At 40.6% G+C, this 11,566-nt stretch overlaps 1 protein-coding gene across 3 annotated transcripts in view; it reads right to left on the bottom strand.

Moving 5' to 3' along the window:
* NET1 (neuroepithelial cell transforming 1) overlaps positions 5,189–11,566 on the bottom strand; it is a 46,500-nt gene continuing 40,122 nt past the window's right edge. For 2 of the 3 annotated variants that reach the window (NM_001047160.3, NM_005863.5), the window contains 7 exons: positions 11,325–11,387; positions 10,899–10,995; positions 10,685–10,761; positions 9,723–9,980; positions 9,127–9,297; positions 7,972–8,158; positions 5,189–7,657 (listed from right to left, as the gene is read on the bottom strand). In NM_001047160.3, the coding sequence (NP_001040625.1) occupies positions 7,251–7,657; positions 7,972–8,158; positions 9,127–9,297; positions 9,723–9,980; positions 10,685–10,761; positions 10,899–10,995; positions 11,325–11,387 (1,260 nt within the window). In that variant the 3' untranslated portion in view covers positions 5,189–7,250. 3 annotated transcript variants of the gene reach the window in all.

The following is an 11,566-nucleotide window of genomic DNA, read 5'->3' as shown; positions in this document are numbered from 1 at the left end:
TTTTAATTGGGTCATTTTCTTATTGTTGAGTTTTAAGAGTTCTTTGCATATTGTGGATAACTGCCCTTCATCTGGTGTGTCTTTTGCAAATATTTTCTTATAATCCGTGGCTTGTGTTCTCATTCTCTTGAAGTAACTTCTTTTTCATACTTTCCTGAATTTTCCTAATTTTCCATGATAAAAATGTATAATTTTAGCATCAGAAGAAATATGTTTAAAGCTCTAATATTTTACTAAATCGATATTTTATCATTATCTAATTTTTGCTTTAGAAAGATCATTTGGCTGCTATATGGAGGATGGATTGAAGAATGGTGAGAGTTTGGGGACCCGTGAAAGGCTAATGCTGTACTTCAGGCAAGAGCTTTCTGCAGCTAATAGTGTTTGGAACAATGAAGGCAGTGGGAAGTGGTAGAATTCTGAATGCATCACGGAGCTGACACAGCCTATGGATGGAGTGGTCAGGGAGCATGAGTAAAGTAGAGGAATCAAGAATGGGTGGAGAGTGGCGCCGTTTACTAAGATGTGGAAGACTGGGGGTGCAGAGGATTCAGGATGGAAAAGCTAGAGTCCTCTCGGGTTCTGTTAAGCATGAAGCACATCAGACTTGAAGAGGACATGTCAAGTAGGATCTGGGTAGCAAGTCAGGAGCTCAGAGGGGTGGTCAGAACTGGAGATGTAAATCTGGAAGTTGTCAGGTGTTGGTGGTTAAAGCCATGGGATGGATCAAACTCCCCAGTAGATAAAACAAGATGTCTGGGAACTAAGCCATGGCTTTCCAACATTTACAGGTCTGGAAGAACAGAGGTCCAAAGGGAGAAGAGGCGAGGGCGGTAGGAGATGAGGAGAGTGTGCTGGTACCCAAGAGCGGAGGAGGTGTTCCAGGTGCTGCCGAGGTTGAATCTGATGAATTACTCCTGGAAGCTGCCGGCTGCTGGAGATGGGAGCTGGGGTTGAGGGTGGCTTAGAGGAAGGTGGGGGTGGGGGTGGCCTAGAGAAAGCTGGGGAGTCAGCGTGCAAAGGGAGCAGGGACGTCTGGGCACGAGTGCAGTTGTGTGAGCTGATGATGGAGGGGGAAGGGGTGCAGGTTTAGGAGGCCGACCCTGGATACTGGTACTTGGGGGAGAATCGGAGGTGGGGAGCATGCATGGTAAAGAGCTGCTTTGCCCTGGGAGGGCACCACTGAGCCCAGCATTTAGAGCATGGCCTGGGAGTTTGGGGTAGGGTAGAATGGGGCAGGGGGACCACATCTCAGGCTGGAGGGAGGGCAGGCTGGACGGGAGAGGAAAAGCCGGTGCCTGGTGGGACAAGGTGAAGGAGGGAAGGAAGAACAACAAATACAGGGGCACTCAGATGCATTTAATCTCAGCTTTGCCACAAGCCAGCTGCCTGATCTTGGGCAATTCACTTGATGTTTGTAGATTTCAGGTTCCTCAGCTGGCAAAGGGGATCAGACTAAGTGATCCATGTGGGTTTCCAGGTCTAACTTGATAGATCTGTCCCTGCTTGTCCTGCCCAGTGAAAGAGGAAAACAAAAGGCTATCCCACCCGCCCCCAGCAGCAGCTGTTGAGCAATGTCGATTCTATGGGAGATTATCAGATTCCTCTGAATCTAGCTAATTTTGCCTTACTTTCCAGTCTACTCAACAGCAAACATTTCCAGGTATTGTAACGCTATCTCCTTTCTTAGAAGACGGTAATGCAGCTAGTGCACTGGCCGTTGGTGAAATTCTCAGGGCCAGGCTGGGTGGATTGCTTCCTGGGGGGCCGAGGAGCTTCCTCAGTGTCTTCTCATTGCCTCAGCTCACACGGAGTGTGGCAGCCACGTTTGTGTGGCAGAGAAAAAGGTGTTGGCAAAGGAAACAAATCATGGTAGAGAGATACAAGGAGGAGAGGAGAGGGAGGAAAGGGGCTGTATTAATGAAGCCAGAATCCAGATTAGCCTAATATGACTGCCAAGTTGTAATGGAGAGAACAGCAAGTGTGAAATTCAGGCAAAAGGTCTGCGTTTCTGTGAGACAGTAGATAGCAAATGCAGTATTTTGAAAAGCAAAGGCTGAGGGTTTGGCGAGAGTTAAGAGGCTGAGGAGCTGGAAGCATTATAGATAACTGGAATTCCACAAGTTCTTTTCTTCCTTTTCGTTTTTTAAAGCGGTGGTTTCTTCGCGTGTCGCCCAGGCTTAGTGTAGTGCTAGTCACAGGCAGGGTCATGGCTCACTGCAGCCTCAAACTCCTGGGCTCAAGCGATCCTCCCATCTCAAGTCTCCCGAGTAGCTGGGGCTACATGTGCCACCACACTTTCTTTTTAACTTCTGCTTTTTTAGTAAAGAATCTCCAATATACACACAAATGTGTGTAAAGAGTATGATGAATTTCCTGTGTGTCTGATCCAGCTTCAGTGATTCCCAACTTATGGCCAATCTTGTTTCATTTTTGTCCCAACCATTCTCCTGCCTCGTAATTTCAAAGAAAATCCCAATTGTCGTTCAATTTTACCCATAAACATTTCAGTAAATGCCTCTATGACTCTGATCACAGTGCTATTGTTAAACACGAAAATCTAACAGTAACTGCTTGACTTTAAACATACACTCAGTGCTGGATATTTTCTTATTTAAAAAGTTTGATTTAGCTCTAAATGAGGGCGATGCATTGCAATTGTCTCTTAGGTCATAGATTCCCCTCCATCTCTCCTTTTTCTGGTTTCTATTTCATTGAAGAAATTCTACTTGTCTTAGTTTCCTGGAGATCAGATTCATGTGTGACCTTGGCAGGCCTTAGCTGGGATGCGGGTCCCTCGGGAGTTAGTGGCTTGTGTGTTCTGTGCCTTTGATGATCCTTCAATGCATCAGGGCTATGAGATGGCGACACTACCATTCCTTCATTTATTAGCTGGGCTGCTGCTCCACAGACAATCTCCCCTTTGTTAGCTATTTGGTTGCTCTGATAGTCTGCAGATGAAATAGGAGGATAAATGCCTGATTCTTTTCCTTTATTTACAGTTTTCAAAGCCCTACATTCGTTCCCTGAGATACTCCAAAGGAAATCAAAGTTTTTATTTTGTGAAGAATCATTATGTAGCTATGGGCTTAAATGTGTCTGATGTTTCAATCCATGGTAGTTATTATCCTAATGAGCTCTAATTGTCTCAAGCACTTTTAAATTAATGCCCCACTCGTCATGAGACACCTGTGCGTCTCTGTACAGGACCGTGTCATTCCAGGCTTAGGAAAGGCACCTGCTTTCACTCAAGTCTGCATCCATCCGTCTCACAAGCAGCCCACCTTCTAAGAAAACAGGCACATTTCTTGACTGAACAGGTCTTAGAAGAGAGAAGTATTCTGAAGCTAAGGCTATGTGGTATCAGATTGAAAGTACTTTACAAAAGCATACTTGATACTTTTATATTATCCCAAAGAAACATATTCAGCACGGTCGAATGTGTCACAAGTGTGACTTAGCAGACCAGCGAGAAGTGTGAAAGGTTGATGTTTTTGACTCTTCTTTATATAACAAACGTGATGTCAGTGCACGGAGAACCCACAGGAACAAAGTGAATCCGTGTTCCCCGGCAGGTTCCCTGGAGTCCTGTCAGGACAGACAAGAGGATCTCAACTTGGCATCCACAGGGTGGTCTGGGGAATATCCCTGAAGTTCCAAAGTCATGTGGATGTGGATGTACATACATTTTCCTGGGGAGAGGGTCCTGGCTGTCATTAGAACCTCAAATATGCATGCTGTAAGCGTAAGTACCACTGGACTCGAATAACCGTCCCTCCGGGAGAAGTCTTTGGTCTTGCAGTTGGTCCTGGGGATTGCTGAGTGCAGACAAAATGAAAACTTCTCTGGGTCTAGGGAGATTTATTCTTGAGGACATTCCTCGCACCGGAGTTAGATTCCGTGGACAAAGGGGTATTACTCTTTCATCAGTGTTCTCTCATGCCAATTTTAGAAAGCCCATTTGGGCTGGGCACAATGGCTCATGCCTGTAATCTCAGCACTTTGGGAGGCAGAGGTGGGCTTATCACCTAAGGTCAGGAGTTCAAGACCAGCCTGGCCAACATGGTGAAACCCTGTCTCTACTGAAAATACAAAATTACCCAGGCGTGGTGGCACGTGTCTGTAATTTCAGCTACTTGGGAGGCTGAGGCAGGAGCATCAGTTGAACCCAGGAGGCAGAGGTTGCAGTGAGCTGAGTTTGCGCCATTGCACTGCAGCCTGGTAAACAAAAGCAAAACTCCATCTCAAAAAAAAAAAAAAAAGAAGAAAAAAGCCCATTTGAAGGCTGAGATATCATCTACTTTGAACCCCTAGGACTCCTAAGTGTATACTTCTTAGCCAGTTTCAGCTCTAGCGACAGGCAGGAATTTCAAGTGAGGAATATGATGAAGGCAAACTGTAACATTGCCACTTTAGGTCTTTCTGCCTCTGTCATCAACATTTACAGATGGGGGCCTTAACTAGGCATTTTCTGATGCTTGTAAAATTAATTACTAGCATTATAGCCATATATATTTGAAACAAATATCATGCTGTCTGCATACTGAGAAAAGCATTAAATACAAAGTAGACCCAGCTACCACAAAAGTCGCTGAACACATCTGATGGGTCAGTTGTGTCCTGATAGATCCCAGGGTGATTTACCTGTGATCCACGGATGGCTAATAAGATGACCTGGTTTCCCTTACCACTGTGCATACACACATCCTGAGACGGACCATGAAGTTTAAGAAGATTTTCAGGGCAGAGACTATTCTTTGCTGAAAATATGTAAGCACACCCACTGGAGAAAGGTAAAAAGGCAGGGAAATTAGACTCTCTTCAGCTCTGACTCGGAACAGGTTAAGGCAAAAACTAGGAATATGGTGGATACATGTTGACTTATTATATAGCAGTTACCCAAAGGGGGCTGATATATAATAGATGAGTGAATACTCAATGCTGATCCAAGGAATTCACAGCACTGGAATTGCTAGGAGGGATGCTTGCGAACAGAAACAATCAGCCCTCTACCCTGACGCCCCACAATCTGGATTCAGTAACATGGTGTATATGGGGTTGCAGCGGGTATGTTAGGGGGTGAGGCCCAGTTACTTTTTTTTTTTTAAAGCACCTCTAGTGATTGTGATACCCAAAGAAGTTTGAGAACTAATGTGCTAAATCACTGAATGCTCTCAAACACAGGTGCTATTTCTGAAGAACATTCATTTAATAGATTTACTCAGATTCTGGGTCTTATTTTTACCTTTGAGGGAACCAAAAGAAGATACGGTTTTAAATAAAACATAATTCCATTAACAACACTTGAACTATTACTTGCTTCTTAAACTTCAGAAGCTGATCAAGGTAACTCTGGAATAACTATTCTATACAACACCTCTGGAAATGATTAGAAATCTTGCTTTCTGGTGTTGCAGATCACAATCATTGGTGTAATATACACTTATGAATGTGAATTTCCAAAGACAAGAACCTGAGGTACTTACATTAAAATCTGAAATTAATCAGGATCCTTTGCCACTACTACCCTTACTATCCTATCCAGAAAGTAACAGGTGTTCAGTTATTTTCAATACAATTGCTGTGTCTGATTACACCATGTTCTTAAAAGATTTCCTAACACAAGACTTACCTACCTTTCGCTGATTCATCAATGATTTCAAAGGTTGAACTACAATTTTTACTAACTTTTATGAGGCTTACCACTACCTCCTTTGCCACACCAGCATATTTTGCCAAATGCCCCCAACATAGCCACCAGGCAAGAAACCTTCAGGGTGATTATGTGTGTGCTTTTTTTTTTTTTAATAGTATCATTCATTTGTACAGAGAAATCATTTGGATGGATCTATTTACAGTCTTTTCTGATTATCATTTCCACTGGCCAAATATATTTCACAGAATAGTCAACACTGACTTGAATTGATCACCATTATAATCGGGCTTTTACTCCTCCTCCCCCCTTTCAAAGATGATGATCCCATTTTAACAGAAACATTTTGTAATAAAAGATTCACCAGTCTTTTTCCATCTTATGACTAAATCCACGAAAATTTATCTAATATGGTCAAATTTTTAACACATTTCATTGTTTCTTTTCAAACTCATTATTTGCAGGTATTGCAAACCAAGGCAAATAAGTCCACGTCCCCTCGAGCCTTCTACAACTTACTACACGCCCTCAAGTTGAGCTTCTCCTATCTCCTTTCACACTTGTGAAATGTCTGGCACAACCAGACATTTTACTTGAAGACAAAACTACTCTCTTTTCCTCTCTTTTTCTTTTAACTCACTACCAATCACCTTCCCTCTTGCATTTCAGACAACACTAAAACTTTCAACAAAATCTTTGAAGTGGTTTTCTTTCAGTAGTCTAGAATACATCAAGCCATTTCATGGGTCTTTACCCTGAAATGCTACACTTTAAAAATGGCAATTTTCTTAATTGGCTCAAAAACAGTATGGCTTGGTTTCACTTGGTAAAATTAATGTGATTTAAAAATATATATATATATACACACACACACACACATACACACACATTTTTAATCAGGAAGAAAAATACTTTAAAGACATGCCAATTTGAAAAGGCATCAAAGTAAAAAAATAAAAGCAAATGCTAAAAACTACTTTACAATAAAAAAATTAAATAATCGGCAGGTTAAATGAATGTAAAATGAGGAATGTACAGTGAAAAACAAACTAATATAAAGCATTCCAGTTGATAAAAACCTCCTCAGGCTTATGGTTTGTTTTCCAAGGAAATTATGTTTCAATGTAAAGTTTGAAATACTCCAGACATACATTCCATGTAGGTTTTGGGTGCCAATGTTAAAATTTCAAATTTTGCATGCAAGGCTTAGCAAAGAAACACTGGCAGAATTCCAGCATTTGCAAAATTCTAAGTTTTGGTGAATATTGTAAATATTACAATTGGTATTAGAAAGCCATGATGAATCCAGAATTAAGAGAAAACCCATTTCATAAATATTTTGTTTGATTAAAAAATACCAGGCTTACCATGTTCTAAATAATTCAAGAAAATATCTTTAAAAAAAAAAGGACTGCAATTTAACAGTAATCTGTATATCTTTAGCTGCCATTAAAAAAAGAAAAAAGAACAACCAAAAACAATGAAAATGTTACAACTGGTATAAAGTAACCCTATGATGCTCCCCTTACGAGAAAACAAAACTGTACACATTTATAAACAAACAGTCTCTCCCATCAGTTAACACACAGAGCCTTCTCTACACCAAAGTCTCTTTCCGTTTGCCACCAGAAAGGGCTTTGTCCCTCGCTCTTCGGATGCCGGGCTGTGTCTGGTGTGTCTTTAAGCTCTTGCTGTCCTCTGCCATCTGCATGCCAGAGCCACATCTGTAAGCGTTTTCATCAACTTCTACCTGAGTAACACTGGAAACTGTGGATGCCCTCCTCTGGGCTGTGAGTTTCCTCGCAGAGGGGTGGTTCCCCTCACACTCTTCGTGCAGCTCCGGCAGGCCCTGCAGCTCAGGTGGACTGCCTGCCGACTGGAAGGGGGCAATGGCCGCTCGAATACAGTTGAACCACTGCTGCTTGTGGAACACGTCATTGGCTTGCAGAGTGTGAGACTGGGCTGGAGAGGGGTCATGGAAGCGAATTCTAAAGATATTTTTAGCTGAAAAAAAAAATTGGAAAAAAAAAAGAAATCAGGCTAAAAAAAGGTTTATTCTAGACAAAGTGGTCATACAATCTTAACGTGACTGTCAATTTATGGCAATTTATTTATGTCAATGTGAATACATTAAGCCTATGCATTATTTCTTAGATACACCTGCGGGTGTTCGAGCTGGGAAGGCCTGGACAACTCAATGGATGTAACAAGTATAGGACAATGGAGCCATTTCATCTCTAGAATTCTTAAAGGCAAAACTAAATTCACTTCAGTTCTGAGCTTCTATTTCTTTAAATTATTGAAGGCCTGCATTTTACCTTTCTCTGAGTTACTGAAAGCTCCTCGAAAGGAGCCTCCCATTCTCACATCTCCATCCTGCAGGTCTTCTAGGACTAGCTCTTGGACTGGGATTGGCTGCCGGTAAACCTGGTAAGAGTGCCGTTCGTTCCGTGTGACGGGCCGAGTCAGAACCAAGATGTCTTGAAACAGGAAAATGTAAAGTTTCTGGAGAAATGGGAAACAAACGCTAAATAGGAAACTTGTGTTTTTAAGTGACTGAAATATATTGCTAAAATAACTCGACATTATTAATTTCATCAGATTTATTTTTCGAAGATCTCTCTAAGTGACAAATCTAGTAATCCATAAAGATGGCAATTTCAAGGCTAAGCATGTTCTATTTGGAAAGTTTTTCCAATCTCAGAATAAATAAAATGTTTCTTATTGGTATGTAATATCAGATTAAGCAGCAGCTAAGTGAATGCTCTGCATCACAAAGACCTATTAGTAGCAACATGACTTGAAACACTAGCGTTGTATACCACAGTTTTCTAACACGAAGGAGGGATTAAAAATGCAAGCTGGTAAAATGTTAATGGTTCTATTTTGTCCCACACAAATTTATACCTTTATAAATTTTCCCCTCGTGAGGGAAAAATCAAAGATGTCAGATTTCAAATTTTTTTAAACAAAACTCCAACTTATAAATTGGGCTTTTGAAAATGCATGATGAAACAAAAATACCATTCCGTGACTGCACTTAGTTCTAGCAGGTACTTTTATAATTAGCATTTAAAAAATACATTTGCATTCATTCAATCTGCTTCAGAAATTTGTTATGTAGTGCGAAAAACCACTTTCATAAGCATAAGATAAACTCTTAGAAGTTTTTTTTGAAGGATGCTTTTTTATTAAGCATTATGGAACTAATACTGTATTTAGACAGGAACCCCTGGCCTAACAAGTTGATTTATGCTTCGAAACTAAAAAATAAAGTATTACTGATTCTCCACTGAGACATTTAAGGTATCTTCTTTGTTGGCTTTATCAAGCTGGTAATATAAAATTAAAATTGGCAACCTTCTTTTACTATGTCATGACTTTCCCTTTACAAGCCTGCTTCATAACAAACGTGTAAAAGTTAAAGAGGCAGGAGGGAAGGCTGCTCTGCCACGGCAGCAAAAGTCACCTACATGTCCACTCTTGCTCCGCAGCTCCCCATGGCACAGCAGCACTTTGCTCGCTTCGATTCTGGGGTCCCTCTGCTTTTCATCCAGGTACTCCAGCTTGTCGATGTAATACTGGCACTCGGATTCACCTTTCTTCAAGTTGATATCAGAGAGGACTCCCTGTATTATCAATATCTGAAAATGATAAATAAAATTGACAGAGCAGCTTCAGTTTATTAACTCATTCTGCTTCCTGCAGAGCAAAAATGTCATATGGAATGGAAGAACTTTAAAGCTTGAAGGGACTCTAGAAATCAGTTAATTCTGCCAGTCTGTTCATTTTATAGATCAAGAAACAGTCCTAGCCAAATTGAGTGATTTGTTCAAAGGTGACAAGGTGAGATCAGATGAGAATCCTGTCCCTTAAGATACAAAATGTGCGAAGTCCAGCATACACAGCTCCTTATTGCTTAGTGCACAGCGTACTAACGCACTGGGTACTTAAAACAACAAAACAATTCACTATGCTGATGTGAATCAGCATCTTCAGAAGATAACGTTCTAAAGCAGCCTAATGTATAAACTTAAAAAACAAAACAATCACTTAAGGGACTACTTACAGCATCCTCCAGAAGCTGAACATCAGGGTGCTCTTTTGGAGTGTGTTTAAGAATTTCTTTTAACAGTAAAGGGTATTTGACTAGGCGACTTCGAGGGATATCTAGGAAACTCCAAAGATCTAGTTTTCGACTGAAGGGAGACTCGAGACATCGCTGGAGGAAGTCTTGGACTCTTGGATCCTGTTTCTTTTGATCAAGAAGAGCTTTGGCTGCCAGCTGGTTACTACAGTAACCTCTGTAGGCATTCAAGCGCGGTAACTGAAGAGTAATAAAAGAAAAGGTATGATGTGTTCCTGTTATGACCGAGTGCATTAACAAGCCTGCAAACATGAAACACAAAATGTACAGCTATTCTTGAGAGTTTTAACAAGCTGTGGACATTTTCTGGCAGATAATAATGGAAGCTGAATAGCATTTTAGCAATCATCAAAATGCTCTTCAAATTTTCATAATTTGGCTAAATCCAAGTGAAGATTCATGACTTCTACTCCCCTCCAACCTCAGACACTGGCAGTCTGTGCTCCCAGGACACTTGAGTGTCCTCCATTTGCCACCAGCCCTGAGACTGTTTATGTGCTTGGCTATTCCTTCACTAGGCTATAAAGGCAGAGACTGCCTTTCATCACTGACTCCCAGCGACTCCTCCTCAAACAGTGCCCCGCATTTGGCATGCGCTTAAACATACATGACAGAATGCAACGGATAATCACACATGATGTGGGAATTCTATCCAAGCAGGAACGTATTTGTAACACAAATGAACCTATAGCATTAATGAAGGTGTTTTTTTTTTTTTTTAAACAGACTGTAACTTCTTATGTCACTGTAAATTTGTTCAGTTTTAACGCCTTATGTGTTTGTAGAACAGAGTTGTGGGATCAAATCTGTCTCATATTCATCAGAAACTGCAACATGGCACATCTGTAAGAAACTGTATCTGGGGTCAACAACTCACTACATACCCAGCTCACGAGAATGTGACCAATCTGCTCCACTGTTCCATCAGGCTTGGTTGCTTCTCCTATTCTTGTCAACAAATCTGAAGTGATAAAAAAGCATAAACACCATTAACAGGTTTATTTAAAAAATAGGTCAGCACTACATTAGAAGTTTAGACTGAAAATTACATGCACCGCTGCTCTTTAGATTTAATGACAATTAAGTGGCACATCTAACCTTCATGCAGAGGTATGTAAGAGTCCAGATCACCAAATATATGTGTGAGTTCCTCTTCTGACATGATGGACAACTTTAACATGGGGTCATGATAGGCCTGTCAGAGGGGAGAAATGTGTCACAGAGAGATCATGTGAGGAAAACATGAGGGATCTATACTTGGAAACAAAGAGAATTAATTACATAAAAGCTAGCGTGGATTCTGTTTGCTACACATAAAATAAATTAGTATGTATTAATCCCCAAATAAACTCTCTTACTAATACTTGTATTTGAGGATGTGTCTAGACCTCACCTAAAAAAAATGTATTCACCAGTAGATATTTTCTATTCTTCTACTTCTAAAGGTTAAGAAAACTATCCTTTAGATTTTGTGAAATGTAATTTTTAAAAACTAGGGCATCTGATAAAAAGTTATTTACTGACCTTTCTTGCAAGTTTGAGATCCTCAATTAAATCCTGTTCACCTCGGGACATTTCATATATTGCCTAAAAACATCCAGCAAACATCAGAGGTCATTCCTTCGAGAAAGGAAAATTATATACAACTGATAATTACATTATTTGATGTTTTGAACGGCATTTTAAAAAGTAACTCAGTCTGAAAATTGTAATTCAGAATGGAATCTCAAATACAAGGTTGCCGTATGTTTGGTAAGTTTACCCTA

Source organism: Homo sapiens, chromosome 10 (assembly GCF_000001405.40).
Source record: "Homo sapiens chromosome 10, GRCh38.p14 Primary Assembly".
NCBI classification, from domain to species: domain Eukaryota; kingdom Metazoa; phylum Chordata; class Mammalia; order Primates; family Hominidae; genus Homo; species Homo sapiens.
This window is presented reverse-complemented; position numbering and strand designations above follow the sequence as displayed.